The sequence below is a fragment of the Homo sapiens genome, chromosome 4 (assembly GCF_000001405.40).
Source record: "Homo sapiens chromosome 4, GRCh38.p14 Primary Assembly".
Taxonomy (NCBI): domain Eukaryota; kingdom Metazoa; phylum Chordata; class Mammalia; order Primates; family Hominidae; genus Homo; species Homo sapiens.
Genome location: NC_000004.12, coordinates 149,596,357 through 149,621,766, shown reverse-complemented (window position 1 = coordinate 149,621,766; position 25,410 = coordinate 149,596,357). Strand labels below are relative to the sequence as shown.

Below are 25,410 nucleotides of genomic sequence, written 5' to 3'. Positions count from 1 at the left end.
ACAGAACAAATATGTGGTGATGCTGGCTAACCTTTTGTGCTTTCGACCTATTTACCTTAAAGACTTTTAATAATTTAATTTACTTTGCAATATCAAAACTTGTGCCTTATAAAATACTGAATTTTCTTTTAAAGTATGTAACACAGAGAGGTTTTCCTTTTATTTTTATAAGTGCTATTCGCAAACATGATTTTCCTTTAAGCCTCCTTTAAAAAAAAAGAAGTTGATGTTCTTCATGAGGAGATAGTAAAGAGAATGAACCTATAGTTTTCTGATGGGCACACTGTGCAATAAAAACACGAGAACCTTACCATATGAAGGAGCCAATTAATTGAAGCCTCTCTCTATGCAATCCTATCATGTCTTCATTTCTCTACGATTAGATGACAAGATGTGATTTTAATACAGAATAGTGAGGCCATAAAGATGATTTGCTTTACTCTTTGCAACATTAAGCAATATAATCAGTGTGTACTTTTCCTGGATAGATATTGTTTTAACCTGCATTGATATTTCTAACAGACAAAGCATTCTATGACTGGAGAGGATTTGTGCTGACAAGGTCTTTCCGTTTGGCTTGTGACTCCCGTCGAGTTAGTTTCTCTCAATCATCATCAATATTTCGGGATTATTATTCTGTAAGTATTTATAAAACTGGATGTAGATTTGAATTGCCATTTTTCCAGTAAATTATTGCATTAATTTTGATGAAAGCACTTGAGATTTTACTATGGACCTGTTTCAGTCCTAAGATAGTTCTCCACTGAAATTCATTTTTTCTGAAGCATTGCTTTAGTTTTGTTCTTGTGTCTTGTGTAAATCTTGCTGATCACCCGATCCCACAATATGCATGTCATTTTTTATTTGAAGAGCATTGGTTAAAGCGATCATCACATGGTTTGCTCCAAATGTGTTAGCACCTCCACTATTTTTGTAATGGTACATAGACTGTCAAGAAAACATAATGAAGGCAAGGGGAGAATGTAGAATGTAGACATCTGTTAAAGGCATGATAATGGAAGGATTAAAAAATCCAAGGGCAATTTTATGACCACATGTTGATGGTTTTCTGAATGAAGACTCTAATCCAGGACATGAGAACTTGTGATCTGAAAGTAGAATTGGTACTTTAAATTCATTTATTTCTCAAAGCAAGTCCTAATATATACATGTGAATAGTAGAAGAAACTCATGTTATTCAGACATCTTTAGCAACAATTTCTTAAAAGGCCACGTAATGCTATTTTACAACATTGTGTTTCGCAGTGTCTGTAAATATGTCTGGGTTTCTTACATCTCCCACATGTTCTGTTGTGTGTGTGAATATGTCTGTCCTGTCCTTTATCTTCTTTATCTTTTTCTCTCTTTTCATATCACTGATTTTTTTTTCCTGGACTTGCCATTTGCTGTTATTACAAAATACCACAGACTGGATGGATTAAACAACAAAAATTTATTTTCTTACTGTTCTGGAGGCTGGAAGTCCAAGATAAAGTTGCTGGCAGCGTTGGTTTCTCCTGAGACCCTTTTCCTTGGCTTGCAGACTGCTACCTTCTCATTGTGTCCTCACATTGTCTTTCTTCTTCTTCTTTTCTTTTTTTTTTGTTTTTGAGACGGAGTCTCTCTCTGTTGCTCAGGCTAGAGTGTAATGGTGTGATCTCAGCTCACCGCAACCTCCACCTGCCGGGTTTAAGTGATTCTTGTGCCTCAGCCTTCTGAGTAGCTGGGATTACCGATGCTTGCCACCATGCCTGGATAATTTTTGTATTTTTAGTAGAGACGGGGTTTCACCATATTGGTTAGGCTGGTCTCAAATTCCTGACCTTAGGTGATCTGCCCACCTTACTCTCCCAAAGTGCTGGGATTACAGGTGTCAGCCACCATGCCCGGCCATGTTGTCTTTCTTCTGTACTAATGCATCCCTGGTGTCATATTGGATTAGGACCCTACCCTTATGACCTCATTTAATCTTAATTACCTCCTTAAAGGTCTTATTTCCAAATCAAGTTACAGTGGAGGTTTGAACTTCTACATATGAATTTCAAAGGGACACAATTTAGTCCATAACATCATTAGACAACTGAAATATATTTTACCAAATTCTTTTATCTACCTGTTGAATAGTTCTTAATCTGTCATTTTAAATAACACATGTTGGATTTTTATTTTTTTCTGTAAACCAAAACTTTTAAGTTATTAATATATCATATTTAGCATATGTTGCTAAATTCCTTGTGAGTCAAATTTACTAAAGCTAATTTTTTTATTTCTAATGTTTTTATTATGTTTGTTTTTATAGATTTAGGGATAGTGCAGTTGTTTTACATGGATAGTTACATTGTGCTGAAGTCTGGGCTTCCAGTGTAGCTGCCACCTGAATAATGTACATTGTACACAATAGATAGCATTTCATCCCTCACCCCTTTCCCATCCTCCCACCTATTAGCATCTCCAGTGTCTATTGGATGACCATCGCTACCCATAGTTTAGCTCCCACTTACGAATGAGAACATGTGGTTTTTGACTTTCTGCTTCGGAGTCATTTCGCTTAGGATAATGGCCTCCAATTCCATCCACATTGCTGCAAAATACATGATTTCATTCTTTTATATGACTGAGTAGTATTCCATGGTGTATATATATATATATATATATATATCCATCCCACATTTTTAATCCAGTCATCTATTGATGGACATTTACGTTTATTCTGACTTTGTTATTGTAAACAGTGCTGCCATAAACATAATGAATGTGTGTATACAATGATTTCTATTTGTTTGGGTAAATACCCAGTAGTTGAATTGCTGAACTGAAGTTAGTTCTATTTTTAGTTCTGAGAAATCTCCAGACTGTTTCCCATAGAGGGTGTACTAACTTATATTTCCACTAACTGTATAAGTGTTCCCTTTTCTCTGCATCCTCACCAACATTTACTGTTTTTTGACATTTCAATAGCCACTGTGATGTGTAAGATGGTGTTTCATTGTGGTTTTAATTTGCATTTCTTTGGCGATTAGTGATGTGGAGCATTTTTTCATATGTTTGTTGGCTGCTTTTGTGTCTTCTTTTGAAAAATGTCCACTTATGTCCTTTGCCCACTTTTTAATGGGATTTTTTTTTCTTGTTTGCATTTCTAATAGATTCTGGATATTAACCTTTTGCCAGATGCATGTTTGTAAGGATTTTCTCCCATTCTGTAGGTTGTCTGTTTATTCTTTTAATTATTATCTTGTACAGGAGCTTTTCAGTTTAATGAGGTCTCATTTGTCCATTTTTGTTTTCATTGCATTTCCTTTTGAGGGCTTATCTGTAAATTCTTTGCCTAGGCCAATGTCCAGAAGACTTTTTCCTAGGTTTTCTTCTAGGATTTTTATGGCTTCAGGTCTTACATTTAAGTCTTTAATCCATCTTGAGTTAACTTTTGTGCATAGTGAGAGATAGGGGTCCAGTTTTATTCTTCTGCATATGGCTTTCCAATTTTACCAGCACCATTTCTTGAATAGGGTGTCCTTTTCCCAATGTATTTTTTAATTGCCTTTGTCAAAGATCACTTGGTTGTAATAATGTGACTTTATTTCTGGGTTATTTATTCTTCCATTGATGTATGTATCTATTTTTGAACCAATGTCACGCTGTTTTGATTATTATAGTCTTGTATAATTTGAAGTCAGGTAATGTGATACCTCTAGCTTTATCATTTTTGCTTAGGATTACTTTGGCTATTCAGGCTCTTTTTTGCTTCCATATAAATTTTAGGATTATTTGTTCTAATCCTGTGAAGAATGACATTGGTAATTTGATAGGAATTGTATTAAATCTAGACATTGCCTTGGGCAGTATGATCATTTAAATTATTTTTATCCTTCCAATTCATGAGACTGGGATGCTTTTCCATTTGTTTGTGCCATCTATGATTTCTTTCATCAGAATTTTTTAGTTGTCCTTGTTGAGATATTTCACTCCCTAGCTTAAATGTATTCCTCAGTGTTTTTTTTTCTGTAGCTATTATAAATGGGATTGAGTTATTGATTTGGTTTCCAACTTGATCATTATTGGTATATTGAAATGCTGCTAATTTTTGTACATTGATTTTGTATCCTGAAACTTTACTGAGTTCATTTATCTGTTCTAATAGTTTTTTTGATGGAGACTTTAGGTGTTTATAAACTGAAAGTTTGGGGTGTACTGGAGTGGACACCAGGTGGTCAATAAAGTGACCTTTTTTGCCTGTCCAGTTAGAGGTAATAAAGGTTTATATCTTACCCTTGTGTACCAACTACATGGTTGGGGGTGTGTCTGAATAAATATGAGAGAATGATATTCAAACACTCAAATTTGTTTTTTGCTGCTCAGTTCATTTTCAATTTTCACCACTGGAAGTCTAAATGGATGTTTTAGTAAGGATTCCCCTTTCGTTTATTTTTTAAAATACCAACACCTATAACAGGAATCAAACACCAAGTTCTTTTTTTGTTTGTTTTTTTAGTTTACTTTAAGTTCCAGGATATTGGCTGGGTGCAGTGGCTCATGCCAGTAATTCCAGCACTATGGGAGGCTGAGGCAGGTGGATCACCTGAGGTTGAAAGTTCAAGACCACCCTGAGCAACATGGAGAAACCCTGTCTCTACTAAAAATACAAAATTAGCCAGGAGTGGTGGCACATGCCTGTAATCCCAGCTACTCGGGAGGCTGAGGCAGGAGAATACCTTGAACCCAGGAGGTAGAGATTGTGGTGCTGAGATTGCACCATTGTACTCCAGCCTGGGCAACAAGAGTGAAACCCCATCTCAAAAAAAAAAAAAAAAGTTCCAGGATATATGTGCAGAACATGTAGGTTTGTTACATAGGTATACATGTGCCATGGTGGTTTGCTGCACCTATTAACTTGGCACCTAGGTTTGGGTTTGTTACATAGGTATATGTATGCCATGGTGGTTTGCTGCACCTATCAACCTGGAACATAGGTTTTAAGCCCCAAATGCATTAGCTATTTGTCCTTATGCTCTCCCTCCCCTCCCCACACCCCGCTGCCGCCCAACATGCCCTGTGTGTGTTGTTCCCCTCCCTGTGTCCATGTAAACACCAAGTTCTAAGTAGACTTTTTTCATTTTAAATAATGAAAATAATTTAAAATTATTGTTTATAAATTTATATTTTGTAAAATATACATAACATATATTTTACCATTTTAACCATTTTTAAGTTTATAGTTCTTTGGCATTTATCACAATCACATTGTGTGTAACCATCATTACTATCCATCTCCAGAGCTTTTTTATCTTCCCAAACTGAAACTCTACATAGTAAACACTAATTGTCTCTACGTCTCTCCCTTGATTCCCTGGAAACCACCATTCTACTTTCTGTTTTCGTTAATTTGACTACTCTAGGTGTCTCATAAACAGAATCGTAGAATATTTGTTCTTTTGTGGCTGGCTTATCTCAGCATGTTTTCAAGGTTCATACACATTGCATCATGTGTCAGAATTTCTTTCTTAGGCTGAATAATATTCCATTGTATGTATATACTACATTTTGTTTATCCATTCTCCCATCAATGGACACTTGGGTTGCTTCCACCTTTTGGATATTTTGAATAATGTTGCCACGAACATGGGTGTACAGATATTGTTTGAGTTCTACTTTTACTTCTTCTGGGTGTGTACCCAGAAGTGTAATGCTAGAATATAATGTATTTCTCTGTTTAATTTTTTGAGGAATAACCATATCATTTTCCACAGTGGCTGTACCATTTTACCTTCCCACCAGCAATGCACAAGGGTTCTAGTTTCTCCCATTTTCTTATATTTTCTGGTGCTTCACATCCTAATGGATATGAAGTTGTAAGTCATCTTGATGTGAAATTGTTTTATCAATTCAGAAGACAAAAGGTGACTGGGAAAACTCAAAACAGAGAAGCCTGCCTTGTTAAAAGAGGAGTGGAAACAAGGGCATAGGAAACTTGGTCTTTGATTTCATTGGAAGAGAGATAAATATAACATACTCTACTTAGAAGAACTCTTTACAACTTAGTTAGTCTTATCAAAATTTTAATTTGCTAAAATAAAGTCATTGTAGATATGCATTCTTTAGACTAGAAGAACACTATCCTTTTTAAGCCTGAAGTGCTTTTTAAAATGTATTTTGTATCCTCATATGTTTTTAGTTCTAATTAAAAAAATCAATAGTGCTATATGTCTTTATGCTTTAAACGTTTCACTTCTGCAACCACATGTTTATTGTATTAGAATTATATTAGAATTTCCAGTTACTTTAATCAGTGGCACATGGGACCCTAAACTTTTTAATGTAAAATTTTAAAAACTGCATCCTGAAGAAACAGTTTCTAGTATTACTTTTTATGGTCTCTGAAGTACTAAGATATTTTTAACCATAATTATCCTGAAAGATAATATTTATCTAAGGTGAGTGAGACCTGGAATGTAATTCCTTGTGTAACATAAAATGTAATATTACATTGCAGTCTGATAGGAAAGATCACCATCTCCAACTTTCTTGAGGCAATTTCTCATCATAACTCTTCTTTAAAAGGTTTGCTAACTTTATAATGTATGAAGCAATCATGGAACATATAATGTAGGGGATTGTAGTCATAGCTGAAAAAAAAACAACATCTAACCTTGGTATTTATCAAAATTCTGAGACGTGACAATCAATGCACTTATCTATAGTGTTCTTAAAATAGGAGGATAGAAACAAATATTGGCAGAAATTTGTATAAGTAATTTCTAGTTAGTATTTGGAAATACAGAAGAGAGTGAAATAACTGTAATCAATTAGCTGTCAGTATGACAGGACTCTCCTCAGCAAGTGGCTAACATACTATGTTGCAGTGGTCCTAAGAGTCAGGAAGGTGTCACTGGGAGGAGCTCTGCCACTTGTGGATGCCCTAGAACAAGCTTGTCCAGCTCGCAGCCTGTGGGCCACATGTGGCCCAGGATGGCTTTAAATGAGGTCCATTACAAATTTGTAAACTTTCTTAAAACACTATCAGATTTTTTGGCGATTTTTCTTTTTAGCTTACCAGCTATCGTTAGTGTTAGTGTATTTTATGTGTGGCCCCAGGCAATTCTTCTTCCAATGTTGCCCAGGGAAGCCAAAAAACTGGACACCCATGCCCTAGAATGAGGAAGAGCTGACAAGCAAGGGAATGTCTGTGCTGCATGAATACATGCACTTTGCAATGGTGATAGGGCCAAGGGGTAGCGGGAAAATTGTTCCAGCCCCAGAAAGGACAGTTGTGGTTGTCCAAGGTGGAAAGACAGGATTCATCTCAGAGACTGAAAGAAATTCAGTGTGGCAAAAGCACAGCATGCTAGAGGGAAGGTGGCAAGAAATGAAGCTGAAGAGATAAGCAAGGACCTATAATCATCAAGTGCCATGTAGACCTCTTTAATGAGCTTATGCCCTAGAATAGGAGGAAGCCATTCAATCGCTTTATAGCTTCTTAACTCTCAATGAAAAGAATTTGCCTAACTTTGATGCTTGAAGTACAGGATTACGAGCAAATAGAATTCAGTCTCATAATAAGCTGCATTAAAAATTGTTTTCAAAGAACATATTATGGACTTCTGGACATTAGACTTTGCAGCCCCACCCTCAACACTCCCACCAAGGGGAACACATCCTACATGAGAGAGGAGAATAAAAAAGAATTGCTGGTCATATTTTTTAAAAAACATAGGTTTAGGTCATGAAAAAAATAAAAACAGGTCATTCGTTTTGTAGAAACATATTGTTTCAAAGACTTGGAACCAACCCAAATGTCCAACAATGATAGGCTGGATTAAGAAAATGTGGCACATATACACCATGGAATGCTATGTAGCCATAAAAAATGATGAGTTCATGTCCTTTGTAGGGACATGGATGAAGCTGGAAACCATCATTCTCAGCAAACTATTGCAAGGACAAAAAACCAAACACCGCATGTTCTCACTCATAGGTGGGAATTGAACAATGAGAACACATGGACACGGGAAGGGAAACATCACACACCGGGGCCTGTTGTGGGGTGGGGGGAGCGGGGAGAGATAGCATTAGGAGATATACCTAATGTTAAATGACGAGTTAATGGGTGCAGCACACCAACATGGCACATGTATACATATGTAACTAACCTGCACATTGTGCACATGTACCCTAAAACTTAAAGTATAATTAAAAAAAAAAGTGAAAACAGGAATTTCAAGTATAACTTAAGTTCTTCACATCAGGTTAATTTTGACCATAGAATGGATTGACAAGATTTTAATATACGAAATTTTTCATTTTTCTCTGGAGAAATTTCTTGAATCATTTTGGTAAAAATGAATATGGGGAGAATCGAAGGAGATTTTCTTCTTCTGACTTGGAAATTTCAACATCTTTTTAAAATTCCTTACCAAATTGTACTGTCAGAAAACTGTGGGCATGCACTTGAAAAATTTTATCACATAATGAAAAATAGTAAATTAACTTTTATTATATAAAACATATTTGCTCATTTTTTTCTCCCTCATCATATTTTCTTCTCTTTGCGCTTTTTCTTCTCTCCTCCAAAACATTTGAGGAGGTACTGTAATTATTTTCATACTCATGATTTTCTCCTCTAATGGGTTACATTTGATAAAAGATGGTTATCTCATTTGATTTTCTGACATTTCTATGAATTAGCACAAATCATCAGAACTACTAAATTTAAAAATTCTTTTTATTCATATGATTTCCTAATTTTGGGGGGTCATTTTGTTTAGAAATAAAATTACTTTTGGGAAATTCTATAGTGGGGTTGGAATTAACTCAGGTCCTGAGTTAACAGGTAAGTGACTATGATTTTTTTTGACATTTTGAATAGCATTCCAGTAGTTAATTCTTATCTATGTTTTGTGTTTGTTTTCTTCCTACTGTAAGGAGTATTGATGCCCAAGGTTGTACATTATCTTTAAACTTCCCAATTTTAATTTTGAAATGAATATTTCTTTTCCTATGAAATATTAATGTATGAATCTCTTCGACAAAATGACATAGATATTTACTTTGAAAAAACTATATTAATTTATGTAGTTTACAGTTACAGTTACATAGCTTACAAAGTTACATAGTTACAGTTACATAGTTACCAAAAAAACCCGCTTTTTTTGTTTTTTAAAACAATTTTATTGTACAATTTAGAGCACAGGAATTGTTCCTGCTTTGCTACTTTTAGTACAAGTCATTTCATTTCTTTGTGATCCATCTTGCTCCTTTGAAAATGAACATACATATGTATTTATATATTAATAACTCACCTTGTTTCACAAAGGTTGTAAATCTGTGTCTAAAAGTGTGACAAAAAAGACCTCAGAAATATGTAAATGAGAAAATGGGTGGAAAAATAAAATGAAGCTCAGGTTATTTTTGGACATACATAAAGTGATTTCACTTGGTAGAGATGGCCGTGAATGTGCTTTGGAGCTTTACAATCATAATTGCCAAAAGAGTAGTATGGTTTGGCTCTGGGTCCTCACCCAAATCTCATCTCAAATTATAATCCCCATATGTTGGGGGAGGGCCTGGTGGGAGGTAATTGAGTCATGGGAATGGACATCCCCCTTGATAGTGAATTTCCACAAGATCTGATTGCTTGAAGGTGTGTGGTACTTCCTCCTTTGCTCTCTCTCTCTCTCTCTCTCCTTCCCCCATGTAAGATGTGCCCTACTTCCCTTCACCTTCCACCATGATTGTACATTTCTTGAGGTCTCACCAGCCATGTAGAACTGTGAGTCAATTAAACCTCTTTTCTTTATAAATAATAAAATTATTGTTAATTATTGTAAATATGTAATAGTTGTATATTTTCATGGGGTACATATGATATTTTGATACAACATATAATTATCAAATCTCAAGTATTTATTATTTCTTTATGTTAGGAACATTCCAGTTCCACTTTTTAAGTTATTTTGAAATATACAATAAATCATAGTTAACCATAGTTGCCCTATTGTTCTACTGAACACTAGATCTTATTCCGTCTGTCTAACTATATTTTTGTACCCATTAACCATCTCTTCTTTATCTCACCACCCCCATTACTCTTCCCAGACTTGGGTAACCATCATTTTACTCCCTCTCTCCATGAGATAAAATTATTTTTTAGCTCCCATATGTGAGTGAGAACGTACAATATTTATTCTTTTGTGCCTGGCTTATTTCATTTTACATAATGTCCTCCAGTTCCATTCATGTTGTTGCAAGTGACAGGATTTCATCCTTTTTATGTCTGAATAATATTCTATTGTGTATATGTACCATACTTTCTTTATTCATTCATTTGTTGATGGACTTTTAGGTTGATACTATATCTTGGATTTGTGAATAGTGGTGCAACAAACATGTAAGTGCAGCTACGTCTTTGACATACTGATTTCCTTTCCTTTGGATATATACCCAGCAGTGGGGTTGCTGAATCATGTAGTAGTTCTATTTTTAGTTTTTTGAGGAACCTCCATACTGTTCTTCATAGTGGCTATAGTAATTTACATTTTTCATTTCTCTGCATTCTCACCAGCATCCATTATTCCATTTTTTTTAGTAAAAGCCATTTTTACTGGGTTGAGATGATATCTTACTGTGGTTTTGATTTGTATTTCTCTGATAATAGTGATGATGACAATTTTTTATATACTTGACCGTTTGTATGTCTTCTTCTGAGAAATGTCTATTCAGATATTTTGCCTATTTTAAAATCAGATTATTTATCTTTTCCTATTGAGTTGTTTGAGCTTTTTATATATTTTGGTTATTAATCACTTGTTAGGTGGTAATTTGCAAATATTTTCCCCCATTCGTTGGCTGTCTCTACTTTGTTGATTTCTTTGCTGTGAAGCAGCTTTTTAACTTAATATGATCCCATTTGTTAATTTCTGCTTTGGCTTCCTGTGCTTTTTAGGTCTTATTCAAGAAATCTTTGCCAAGACCTACATCCTAGAGTGTTTACCCAATGTTTTCTTCTAGTATTTTCATAGTTTTGAGTCTTATATTTAAGCCTTTAATTCATTTTCGTTTGAGTTTTGTGTAAGGTGAGATATAGGGGTCTAGTTTCATTCTTCTGCCTATGGATGTTCAGTTTTCCCAGCACCATTTATTGAAGACTGTTATTTTCCCAGGCCGTGTTCTTGGCACCTTTGTTGAAAATGAGTTTACTGTAAATACATGAATTTACTTCTTGTTTCTCTGTTCTGTTCCACTGGTCTATTTGTTTTTATGCCACTATCAGGCTGTTTATGTTACCATAGCTTTATAGTATAATTTGAAGTCAGGTAATGCAATGCCTCCAGCTTTGTACTTTTTACTCAGGATTGCTTTGGCTATTCAGGGTCTTTTGCAGTTCCATATAAATTTTAGGATTATTTTTTATTTCTGTGAAGAATGCCATTGGTATTTTGATATGTTTTACACTGAATTTGTAGATTGCTTTGGGTAGTATAGACATTTTAACAAAATTGATTCTTCCAATTCATGAACATTGGAATACCCTTCCATTTTTTTGTCCTCTTCAATTTCTTTCATCAATGTTTTATAGTTTTCCTTGTAGAGATATTTTACTTCTTTGGTTAAGTGTATTCCTAGGTGTTTTTATTTGTGGCTATTATAAATAGAATTACTTTGTTGGTTTCTTTTTCAGATTGTTTGCAGTTGGCATATAAACATGCTACTGATTTTCGTAAGTTGATTTTATATTCTTCAATTTTGCTGAATTTGTTTATCAGTTCTAATATTTTTTTGGTGGAGTGCTTATGTTTTTATAAATATGTGATCATATAATCTGCAAACTAGGATAATTTGACTTTTTCCTTTTCAATTTTGATGCCCTTTATTTTTCTTGTTAAATACTCCGTCTAAGACTTATAGTGCTATGTTGAATAAAAGTGGTGAAAGTGGACATCCTTGTCTTATCCCAGATATTAGAGGAAAGACTTTCAGTTTTTCTCCATTTAGAATGGTATTGGTTGTGAGTTTGTCTTCTATGGCTTTTGTTATGTTGAGGTATGTTCCCCCTATACCGAGTTTGTTGAGAGTTTTTATCATAAAGGGATGCTGAATTTTGTCAAATGCTTTCTCAGCATCTATTGAAACAATCATATGATTTTTGTCCTTCATTCTGTTGGTATGATGTATCACATTCATTAATCTGTGTGTTTTGCCATCTTTGCATCCCTGGGGTTAATCCCATTTAATCATGATGAATGATTCTTTTAATGTATTATTGAATTTTGTTTGCTAGTATTTTTGGAGGATTTTTGTATCTATGGTCAAGATATTGGCCTGTAGTTTTCTTTGATTTTGTTCTGGCTTTGTCTGGTTTTTGTATCAGCATAATACTGGCCTTGTAGAATGAGTTTGGAAGTATTCTCTCCTCAATTTTTTAAAAAAATAGTTTGAGTATGATTAGTATTAGCTGTTCTTTAAATGTTTGGTAGAATACAACAGTGAAGCCATCAGGTCCTGGACTTTTCTCTGATGGGAGATTTTTAAATTACTGCTTCTATCTCAATACTAGTTGTGGTCTATTCAGGTTTTTTATTTCTTCATGGTTCAATCTTCGTAGGTTGCATGTGTCTAGGAGTTTATCCATTTTATAGGCTTTCCAATTAATTAGCATATAGTTGCTAATTATAATCTCTAATGATCCTTTGAATTTCTGTGGTATCAGTGGAATATCTCCTTTTTCATCTCTCATTTTATTTATTTGGGTCTTCTGTCTTTGTTTTTTCAGTCTGGCTCAACTTTTGTTCATTTTGTTGTCCTTTTAAGATACCATCTTTTTGGTTTTTGATCCTTCATGGTGTTGTTTTCATTTCATTTATGTCTGCTCTGATCTTTATATTTTTCTCTTCTATTAATTTTGGCTTTGATTTGTTCTTGCTTTTCTTGTTCTTTAAGATGCATCATTAGGTTATTTGACTGTTTTCTGCTTTTTTGATATAGGCATTTATTGCTATAAATTTCATTCAATGCTTCTTTGGCTGTATCCCATAGGTTTTGGTATGTTGTGTTTTCATTTTCATTTGTTTCAAGAAAGTTTTCAATTTGTTTCTTAATTTTTTAATTGACCCACTAGTCATTTGGGAATATATTAAGTTCCATATGTTTCTACCATTTTCAAAGTTCTTCTTGTTATTGATTTCTATTTTATTCCATTGTAGTTAGAAAAGGTACTTCATATGATTTCAATGTTTTTAAATTTTTTGAGACTTGTTTTGTGGCATAACATATAGTTTATCCTTGAGAATATTCCATGTGTTGAGGAGAAGAATGTGTATTTTGCTGCTGTTGAATAAAATATTCCATAAATATCTATTCAGTTCATTTGGTCTATAGTGAAGATTAAGTCTGATGTTTCTTAATTGATTTTCTGTCTAGATTATCTGTCTAATGCTGAAAGTGGAGTGTTGATGTACCCAGCTATGATTATATTGGAGTCTATATTTGTCTTTAGTTCTGGTAAAATTTGCTTTGTATTTCTGGGTGCTCCAGTGTTGGATGAATATAATTTGGAAATTGTTATATTCTCTTGCTGTATTGTCTCCTCTACCATTATATAATAACCTTCTTTGTTCCTTTTTGTCTTGAAATCTCTTTTATCTGATAAGTATAGCCATTCCTACTCTTTTTTTGGTTTCCACTGGCATGGAGTATTTTTTTTCCATTCCTTTATTTTAAGTCTATGTGTGTCTATAGGTGAAGTGACTTTCTTGTAGGCACCATATGGTTGGCTCTTGTTTTTTAAATCCATTCAGCTGCTCTATGTATTTTGATTGGAAAATTTAGTTCATTTACATTCAATGTTATTATTCATTGGTAAGGACTTACTACTGCCATTTTGTTATTTGTCTCCTTTTTCCCTCCCTCCCTTCCTTCCTTCCATCCATCTTCCTTTGTGTAAAAGTGATTTTCTTTGGTAGTATGTTTTAGTTTCTTTTCTTAAAATGTTACGTATCTAAAATAGATTTTTGTTTTGTGGCTATCACAAGGTTTACAAATAACATCTTACAATCAATTATTTTAAACTGATGGCAACTTAACTCTTATTACAAAGAAAACAAAGAGAAAACTAAAATACTCTATATTTTAACCTCATGCTTCCTATTTTTTGACTTTTTGTTATCTCTATTTATCTTTTATATTATTTATCTCTTAAGTTGCAGTTATTATTTTTGTTATATTTGTCTTTTAGTTTTTCTACTAAAAATATGAATGGTTTACACATCGCAATTACATTGTTAGAGTATTCTGTGTTTGTGTACTTTTAGCAGTGAGTTGTATACCTTCAAGATGATTTCTTGTTGCTCACTAACCTCTTTTTTTTCTCAGGTTGAACAAACTCCCTTTAGAATTTCTTGGAAAACAGGTCTGGTGTCAGTGAAATCTCTCACCTTTTGTTTGTTTGGGAAAGTCTTTATTTGTATTTGAAGGATAATTTTACAGGGTATAACATTCTAGTTGTGCTTTTCCTTCAGCACTTTGAAAATGTTATCCTACTCCCTCCTAGCCTCAGAAACCTATTGTCAGACTTGTCAGAGCTCCTTTATATGTGATTTGCTTTTTTTTTCTTTTACTGATTTAGGGTCATTTCTTTATCCTTGACCTGTAAGACTTTGATTATTATATGCCTTGTGGTAGTCTTACTTGGGTTGAATCCACTTGGTATTCTTTGAGCTTCTTGTACATGGATATTAATATTTTTCTCTGGATTTGGAAAGTTCTCTGTTATTATTTCTTTGAGTAAACTTTCTACTCTGATCTCTCTGTGTCTATATCTTCTTTAAGGCCAGTAACTCTAAGATTTGCCCCTTTGAGACTATTTGCTAGATGTTGTATGTGTGCTTCATTGTATTTTTTTCTCTTTTTTCTCTTTTGTGTACTTTGAAATAGCTTGTCTTTGAGTTCACTAATTATTTGTCCTGCTTGAGCAATTCTGCATTGAGGGACTCTAGTGCATTCTTCAGTTTGTCAATTGAATTTTTCAGCTCTAGAATTTCTGCTTGATTTAAAAAATTATTTTAATCTCTTTGTTAAATTTATTTGATAGAATTCTAAATTCCTTCTATGTGTTATCTTGAAGTTCATTGAGCTTCCTCAAGACAGCTAGTTTGAATTCCCTGTCTAAAAGGTCACATATCTTCATCACTCCAGGATTGATCACTGGTGCCTTATTTTGTCAATTTGGTGAGGTCATGTTTTCCTGGATGTTCTTGATGCTTGTGGATGTTCACTGATGTCTGTGCATTGACGAATTAGGTATTTATTTCAACCTTTGTGGTTTGGGCTTGTTTGTATTCATACTTCTTGAGAGGGCCTTCTAGTAGTTTAAAGGGGACTGAGTGTTGTGACCTAAGGCTGTGGTCACTGCGGCTGTTTCAGCACTATGGTACACCAGTGTTCCTGGTAAACCCAGGAATATTGCAACTCTTGGGTTACCAGGCAAAGTCTCTCACTGTATTTCCTCTGTTTCCTCCAAACAGAAGGAGTCTCTCTCTGTACTGGGCTGCCTGGAGCTGGGGGAGGGGTGATGCTGGTATTCCCATGGCCATCACAAATGGCATTATGCAGGTTCCCAGCTGAAGCCTTGCAAACCAGCACAGAACTGGGTTTCACCCAAGGCCCACAGCAAATACTGCCTTGCTTCCTCTTTTGCTTATTCAAGGCTCAATGCCATTTTAGTCAGAAGGTGGTGAATCTTGCCAAGACTGGGTCTGTCCTATCAGAGCTGTGGATTCCCTTCTGACTGAGGGTGGGTTTAGAAACACCATCCAGGAGCAAAGGCCTGGAATCAGGGGTTTCAAGGAATTTTTCTGGTACTTTATTTTACTGTGGCTGAGCTGGTATTCAAGTTGCAAGACAAAGTGCTCTGTACTCTTCCCTTGCCTTCCCCCAAGCAGAAATCTCTCTCTGAGCTTCACTGACTCAGTGACTCAGGAGTTGGGGGAGGGGTTATATAGGCATTGCATTCCCTTGGCTACTACAGCTGGTGTCACATTGAGTCATGTACACCCCAAGTTCACTGCCTCCAAGACCAGTGTAGCACCAGAATAAAAGCCCATATTTTAATAGTAATGTTTTCTTGCAGCAATATTATCTGGGCCTAAAGTGTATTTTTACAACCATCATTTATTTTATTTTACTTAATGTTTCTTTTTAGATAATAACCCTACTATTGTCCTAGCTTAGAAGATACTTATTGGGAGAATGTACTACATGCAAAATTTATTTAGCAGTAAATAGATCAAGATGTATATTCAACTATTCTCATAGAGTTTTGAAAGAAAGCACTCTTGGCAAATGCAAGATGTGAATTGTAATGTTACTTAGATATACCAACATGCCACTTCCTAAACCACATCACAGTCCCACCCACATAAAAGATTTTCAAATGTGGAGGTATAGGTAAATAAGTAGTATAATTTTAAATGTGTATTTTTGAATGAATTTAATATTCTAGAGAAAACTCTTAATACCTATTTTCAGTTTCCTTTATTATAAAAGGCCATTGACTTTTTGCTTTTGGAGGCCACTTCACATTCTTTCTGTACTGTAGAAGCCAAAATATTCAACCCAATTCTCAATCATAATTGACCTTTTGCTCTGAGATATCCTTATGTGGGAAAGATATTTGGGGAGCACTAGGCCCATACACATTAGTAATACTGTTAACAATAGTTTTAGTTGTACAGTTGTGTCAACATAGGCATTGTTTGGTGAGATAAACAGATATGTGATTGTGAAATCACACAAGTGAATACCTGGATGGGAGAATGAAAAGTTGAATATAGAGAGCATTTGAGCAGATAGCAGATTAAGAAAATGAACAGACTGTGCCTGCCCTGGGGAATCCCTCCTCCCACCCCCCATCACCTCCTGGGAAGCTAGGTATGCTTGTTCTCTAGTAAAGGGAACATTAACTAAATTTCTTAAAAAGTAATGAAAGAGAACAAACTGTAAAAAGGCAGCCAAATAAGGCAAACATCTGTTACTGAACATGTCTCACTTGACTTCCTTTTAATGTTCTTAGGAATAAATTTATGAACTAGGGAAGGTTTAGCACTAATTAGCTTGTTTTCATCAAACAAAATACACCAGACATGGATGTTGAATACAAATGAAAATTTCAGTAGTAATAATAAGAAGACTTAGAAAGTTCTAGTAGCCAGGGTTATGGCCACAGGCTTTGGATATTGTGGCTGTTAATATTGTGTTGGTTTAAATTTGCAGTATTTTTTTTAAATGATCAGGTAAAATGTTTTAAAAGTCATGTATTCATTAAACAATAGATGGATCTTTAGTTATATACCTTTAGGCTGATGAGCTGTTAGAATGATCTGCAATAACAAATATAGAGCTACATAAAGGCAAAGTTTTATAACACATGCAGCAGCAGTGGTAATAGTTACAGCTTATATTAGTTGTGTAGATATATAATCCTTTATTTGAAACTCTTGGGCCTACACATATGTAAGAATTCTGAAAATTTAAAATTTTAGAAAGGTAAGAAGATAAGTGGATTCACAATCAAACCAGTAATTACACTTGCTAATATTTGTAGCATATGCATATTCTCATCAAGTGGTAGATAGAGGCCACTATATAGGCCTTGTGTTGGTCAGCTTAGGTCAGGTTTTGCCACCCAAAATCAGGTGTTAAGTTTTACCTTTATATATATTATGAAAACTTTTTTGGTTTTCAGAGCTTTTTATACATTTCAGAGTCTTAGAATTGTAGACTTGCAGCAGTAGTACTAATAATAACAGTAGTGGTGGCAGTAGTTGGTGAAGGAGACTAGGAAAGATAAGGAGATGAGGACGCACATGTCACAGGTGTGCATATACACATAGTTCAAAAGCAGTGAAAAACACAGCTATAATATTAAGAAGAGGAAAAAGGGTAAAAATGCTGAATTTAGGATGTTGTCTACATTTTGCTGTAATTTTTTTTTCTATATTGACAACAAAGACTCATACAGTCCTTAATTTCTTTGTTCTGAAGTTGACTTTTTTTTTTTAACTATTCCTCTTCTCTGAAATCAGTGGCCATTCTCATTTTGTCAGGGAGTTTTCTTGTTGATTTCTCTTTTTCTATTTTCTAACACCCTCTAACACTCATTAGAAGACCACTTTTTCTACCACAGGCAAGGCATGTTGCATTGGCTAGATGGAAGGATTGAGTCTATCATAGGGACACAAACCCAAAACTGTGACTCTTAGGGGATCCTAGTAATGAAGAATAGGTCACAAATGGTGAGACCTGGTTGGTAGTAATTAAGAGGCTACACCAAGTTGTTGTGTTAGGAAATTATAAAACAATTGATGCCATATCAATGATGAAAGATTATTTTAAGACAGTTGAGTCCTCAGTGATTGATTCCTAATCTGATTCCAGTTTTACTCTTGAACCAAACATGTAAGATAACTTTTAACCTTTGCCTTTTAACATTTGTCTTTTATCATGTGTTAAGATTTTTTAAAATTATGCTTTCAATACTTATATTTTGAAGAAAACTCAGATGAGCAAAATAAAGAGAAAATCAACCATAATTACTATAACAATACTTAGTGGCCACTATTTTTTCAAATTAACCTTTCTATATAGATTAATATATTTCTTACCATGAAATAAATGACAGCAATATCCTATTTATGGAAATAACTTGTTTTTTGGTTATTTGGCAATTGAACAGAGCTTTGGCAAAATGTAGTACACTATATTTGTAGTTAAGTTATTGTAGATTTAATTTTTTACAATAAATTCCTTGCAGTGGAATTTTTGGTACCTCTCCTACTCCTACCTTTTTCCTTTGTATTTTGTTATATATGGTTAAATTGCCCTCTAAATAGTGTTGGTTTTGAATTTTTTGGATTTTTATTGCTTCTTCTATTCCAAAACAAGAGTGCATAAAAAAGGACAAACTGATAATCAACAAAAAATAGATAATCATATATGAAAAGGGCTTAGCATGGTATTAGTGGGTTATAGTAAGGACTTACTATATTATAGCTATTATTAACTTTATTAAGTTATTTAAAAATTTATTACATTATTTCATGAATAATTTATGATACCTTATAAAAATCTATACAACATGAAATATTACATAAATGAAGACATCAGGGGTTATGGAAAAGAAAATAGAAAATAAGAAATTAAGATTTAGGTAAGTATACAGATTCAGAATTTGGTATATTAGATGTTTGTAATAAGAAGGCCATAAATTTGGCCGTGGACATTTTAGCAATTAATAAAAGAGGGTAAGTTTTTGGTCACTTGATTCAGAGTGTTTCCATAAAATAAACGCAAACAAACCAGAAATATGTGTCATGTAGATGATAATAAAGAGGGTACTATGAAATAAATGTAATGAATACAGTTATCTCACTATATGCATAGGGGATTGGTTCCAGTATCCAAATTAGTATTCGAGGTTCTGAATTGATATTCAGCAGATACCAAATTCCAGTAATGTTCAAATTCCTTATGTAAAGTGGCATACTATTTTTTGTATAATCTGTACAAGCCCTCCCCTATACTTTACATCATCTCTAGCTTACTTATAATACATAATATGATGTAAATAGCATGTAAATAGTTTTTATACTGTATTGTTTTTTCCTTGTATATTTTTATTGATGTATTCTAATTTCTCGTTGTTTAGTAAAAAGCATATTTTTTCTTTTTTTTTTTTTTTTTTTTGTCGCCCAGGCTGGAGCGCAGTGGCACAATCTTGGCTCACTGTAAGCTCCGCCTCCCGGGTTCACGCCATTCTCCCGCCTCAGCCTCCCAAGTAGCTCAGACTACAGGCGACAGCCACCACGCCTGACTAATTTTGTTTTTGTATTTTTAGTAGAGACGGGGTTTCACCGTGTTAGCCAGGATGGTCTCGATCTTGGGATCTGCCTGCCTTGGCCTCTCAAAGTGCTGGGATTACAGGCATGAGCCACCGCGCCAGGCCATATAAAACATATTTCTAATCCAATGTTGGTTGAATCTGCAGATGCAGAACCAGATGAAGGGTTGACTGTAATGTACTAAAACATATACTTTCATAAAATGTAGTAGTATACTAAATGTTGACCCTCATTTTATTTATAAGCCTGAAGTACAATTTGGTGAAAGCACTTTTTCAGGGATGGGAGGGCTTAGAGGTGTTGGTTGTTGTGGAGGTGGTGTGGAAACAATATTATCCTAGAACAGTTGGTCGTCCTTATCCATAGGTTCTGCATCTATGGATTCAACCAAATGCAGATCAAAAATATACATATTTTTAAATTGCATCTGTACTGAACATGTACAGCCTTTTCTTCTTGCTGTTTCTCCCTAAATGGTAGCACAACTGTTTTGTTTCATTGTGTCATTGTTTAAGTTTACCTACATGCTGGCTTAGTTTCAATCAGAGATAGATTTGAAGGTATCTTGAGGAATGGAGGAATGTATTTTTGGCCCTGTCTACTCTATGTGTTGTCCATGGGTCAGTAGCATTGTTATCACCTAGGAATTTGTTAGAAAGATTCTAATCTTCTAATCTTAGGTCCCAGCCCGATCTATTGAATCAGAAGATCTGTAGTGATTTATAAGCACTTTAAAGTTTGAGAAACACTGTTTTAAAAGATTCTCCATAAATTATTCACATTAAGTGAGCTTTTTATAAGTAGTGACAATGTGTACGAGGTAATTTTTTTCCTGATAAATACCTGAAGTGCAGAAATTCTATGAATTTAGTCATTGTGTGGGGTAGGAATGCCATTTCTCTGTGAAAGTTGAGGAATGAGATAATACCCAATCAAAGATATTAGAAATACATTCTCAAATAATGAAATAGGACCACAGTTGATGTCAAAATTGTCCTGAAAAAATTTTCTAGGTATTTGGATAATAGAGCTTTCACCCAGATGGATTAATCTGGACAGTTTCAACAAACTGATATATTTATGTAAGCATATCCTGAGTCTCTAGGAATCAGATCCGTGGTGATTTATAAGCACATTGAAGTTTGAGAATCATTCTTTTAGATAATTCTCCATCAGAGTCCTCCAAACAAGGAGTGATAGTCAAGTTGTAATTGGGAGGCTAGGGCAGCCTTTGACCCCAGTGCCTTTGATAGGCAGCTGTAAATCCCATTAAGATTAATTCCCAGAGACTCCCTAGAAAATCACTGGATCTTTTCTAAAGGAATAAACAATGTAGAAGACAAAATTGCTGATGGCTAAGTAATTAAAAATCTAATGTGAACTCCATCATTATCTTTTTTCACTGTATTCTATTTTCATAGATTAAAAACTTCCCGCCTGTATCCCCAATTTAACTTTCTGAATTTTGGTATATTGAATTTGAATCCTATCCATCTCTTACTTATGGAATCAAGGGAAGGATACTAAATTTTTCAGTTTCCTCAGGAAAAGTGGAAATAAAACATCTGCTTTGCAGAGTCTTGGTGAAGATTGAAGATAATACACATAAAGCACAAGGCAGACTCTAATTGTTAGATATAACAATTTTTTATTAGCTCTGTGATGCAGCTCCAGACCTGCCACGTAGAATATAAATCTCATAATAATAGCAGAACTCATCATTTAGAATGGATTTACATTCAAATTAGTCCTCAATAAATACACAAGTAAAAAGGATTTAATTCGATTTTTAAAAATACTGTCCAATTTATAACTGAATTGTTTAGTAAAAATTAACTACTCAGGGGGCTCCCTTAAAATCCAAAGGTGGGAATCATGTTCAAAAGCAAATAACTTGCATAGTTTTAAGTATCAACTTCAACATCAATATGAACACAAGTATATTAAAATGCCCCCAAATTATAAAATGGAAATTCATTTCTTCAATCTGGCCTTTTAGATATAAAGTTTTAATTCCAGCCAATAAAAAATTAGTAACAAGTATTACAGACTTGTACAATTTAAAACTTCAGAATAAAGTAATTAACACCTGGCAGCAGCTGTTCATTGCTTGGCATTCTTCAATCTTAGAGTTTCCAAAGCATACACAAACCACAGGAGAAATTTGGATCCACATAACCTTATAGGAAGTTGTCATATATCTGCCAAACGTATTACCACAGGGTGATATGCTCAATTTAAGCTCAAGGAATATTTCCACAATTTTATTAAAATTTTTCTATTGTTTTATATGTCAATCATTTAAGAGTATATATATGTATACCTGCATGTGTGTGAAGGAATAATACTCAAAAAAAAAGACCCACAAAGCTTAAGGGGTAGAACATTGTTTGTCTTTTTCCTTCTCTTCATATCCTGAGGAAACATCTCCTTAATTTTATGTTAATGATTCTCTTACATTTCCATACAATTTTAGCACATGTACACATATTCCTAGTTAGTGTCTTGTTTACTTTTGCTTGTTTATAACTTTGTGTAAATGTAATTATAATTTCTTCACTCTCTTTTTTGCTCAACAATGTATTTTTGTGATCCATTCATCTTTATTGATGTGGTTGTATAATCCCATGGTTCATTCATTTCCATCAATGCACAACATCCCATTGAATAAATATACTATAATTTATTTATCCTTTCTATAGCTGAGAGATATTTTGCTTTTAAAAAAGTTATTTCTTATTGTGAAAAAACCTGCTACAAGCATTCTTTTATATGTCTCCCGAAGCATAGGTGTCAGTTTCTCTAGGGCAAGCACTCCTAACATCAATATGAACCTGCATTCTGTTGCATCTGGGATGTCATATTATATATATATATGCCATCCAGTCTTGGGGGCAGATGGGCAAGGTCAGTGCAGTGGGAGCTCTATAACTGATTATTGATTACCTGAATAATTGATTGCCACTAGCTATAAGCAGCTCCTCTATTTACTCCACCAACTCCTATAATCCCTAACCATGGAATGGCTGTGCTGTCAAGTGAGCATAGGTTCAACTTTTCCAGGCAATAGCAAACAGCTTTCCACTTCCAGAAGCAGTTTATGAGAGTCTCCATTGCTTCATATACTTGGAAACAATTAATACTGTCAAAGTTTTAACCTTTGCCAATTTGGCACTTATGAAATTATATTTCTTTGTGATTTTAATTTACATTTTCCTAATGACAAATAAAGTTGAGAATTTTTGTATGTTTCTGGGCAATTATTTATTTCTCCTTTGTGAACATCTCATGGTTGTATTTTAAAAAATGTATTTAAATGCATTTCTTTCATTTCATTTTTTGCCCTTTATTTGTTCTTTCCATTTTGTACTTGTTATTTGCCCAAGAAGAAGAAATAAAAATAATTCTCTTATTTTTTGAAGTATCCTCTTGTGCTATCTTTCATTTCTGCTAGCTTGGCATTTATATTTTTGTTTTTATTTTTTAATAAATGGTTAATCTGTAGATTTTAATGTATTTTACCTTAAACTCCCTACTTTCTTATTCCACACAACGATGGTAGATTGACTTAACTTCTAGAGTTTAGTTCTTTCTTTTTTAAAACCTCAAAAATTAGACACAATTATTTTGTTTCATTGTGTCGTTGTTTGTTAAAGTTTATCTATATGCTTCCCAATTATTTTATTTGCCATTACATCTAGCATCACAGACCTCTTGGATAATTTTCCTTCTTGAACTACATCCTTTAGAAGTGCCATTAGTAAGGGTCAGTTGGCAAAATACTTCAATTGATAATGTATTTTTTCTTCCTCTCAACCATACTTTCTTAGCATTTTGAAGTTATCATTCTTCTGTCTTCTGGCTACCATTGTTGCTGGGGGTAAAAAAAGATGTTTGTCAAGTTGTCTCTCTTTTGTAGGTAATATGTCTATGTACTCTATTTCTAAGAACTTTTTTTTTGTCATGAGGTGTGTAAGTGTAGTTTATTTTGTTGTTATGAGGTGTGTAAGTGTAGTTTATTTTGAACTATTCTCCATTTTTGTTGGGCTTCTTATATCTGAAAATCAGTGTCTTTCAGTAATTCTGAGAACAAAAACCCCAAACACAAAACTCTGCCATTATATTTTCAAATACTGTCTGTCTTCTATAATTTCTGTATAAAACTCTAATTAAAATTTTATGAATCTCTAGGTCTAGTGCAGTGGCTCACACCTGTAATCCTAGCACTTTGGGAGGCTGAGGCAGGCAGATCATTTGAGGTCACGAGTTAGAGACCAGCTTGGCTAACATGGCAAAACCCCATCTCTACTAAAAATACAAAAATTAGCTGGCCATGGTGGCGTGGGCCTGTAATCCCAGCTACTCGGGAGGCTGAGGCAGGAGAATTGCTTGAACCTGGGAGGTGGAGGTTGTAGTGAGCTGAGATCATACCAATGCACTCCAGCCTGGGCAGCAGAGCGAGACTCTATCTCAAAAACAAAAAACAAAGAAAAAAAGCACAACAACAAGAAAAAACTTTATAAATCTTTAATCAGACAAATGTGAGTCATTCAATTGTCATTGTCCTTACTCTTTTTCCTCTTTTAATATTTGCCATCTCTTTCTGTCTCACTGCTGCAACCTAGGTGTTTTTTTATCCCTCATAGTTTATATTATCAGTTCTCTTTTTATCTGTGTCTATTATTTTCTTTTGTTATTCACTGAATTTCCAATTTTAAATATTATGTGTTTTATTTTTATAATGTCGATTGTTACTTTCCAAGTCTGCTCAGTCAATTTTGATAATTTTTTTTGTTTCTTCAATATATTTCTCTAAACATGTAGAAATGGAATTTCATTCTTATTTTATAGTCTTTACATAATAATTACAGTATATTTAGTCTTTGAGGTTCTGAATATGTAGGTTCTGATTCCTTGATTGCTGCTTTCTCATGTTTACTGAATTTCCTGATTTTGAGCTAATTTTTCTTGGTATTTTATTGTGAGAATTCTTAGAAGTGTGGGTTAAACTGCAATCTAAAAATGATTGATAAAATTGCTTTTACCCAGTGCTTTAGGGCACTACTAAGGTGAGACAACTTTTATTCTAAATTTTCAAACTTTTTTGGTGGGGGCCCAGATTTGTACGGCATTACAGTAATCTGAATTGAACCTCTAAATCTAGGTAAATGGTATATTGTCATTAGAAATTCCTAGAAAACTTCTAGGAATTTTATCTCTTCACTCAGAGCCAAGGCCACAGTGTGTATGTGGTCTCACAGTCTCTCTCTTTCTACAGGACATTTAAAAAATCTTGGTTTATGCCTTAAGTCTACTGCCCTTCCAAGACTTGGGTTTTATGAGTACTTTTCTTAGATTTGACTTTCCTTGGTACTCTGGGTTCCAATGTTTACCTCTCAACTGCAGGGCATGCAGGTCATTAAAACCTAGACTCTAAGCTGTCAGAAATTGCCATACCATCCCCAAGGCAAAGACAAGCTTCTGAAATTATAAAACAGTAATTTCAACATTTCAGTGTTTGGCC

The 25,410-nt window shown here is 34.2% G+C and overlaps 1 protein-coding gene across 16 annotated transcripts in view; it reads left to right on the top strand.

The window, feature by feature from the left end:
• IQCM (IQ motif containing M) overlaps nucleotides 1-25,410 on the top strand; it is a 464,135-nt gene that overhangs the window by 194,077 nt on the left and 244,648 nt on the right. For 9 of the 16 annotated variants that reach the window (XM_017008904.3, XM_017008902.3, XM_017008900.3 and 6 more), the window contains 2 exons: nucleotides 523-638; nucleotides 11,672-11,710. In XM_017008904.3, coding sequence (XP_016864393.1) covers nucleotides 523-638; nucleotides 11,672-11,710 — 155 coding nt within the window. The remainder of the gene's footprint in view (nucleotides 1-522; nucleotides 639-11,671; nucleotides 11,711-25,410) is intronic. The other 7 variants (NM_001378180.1, NM_001363507.2, XM_017008903.3 and 4 more) reach the window with 1 other exon arrangement.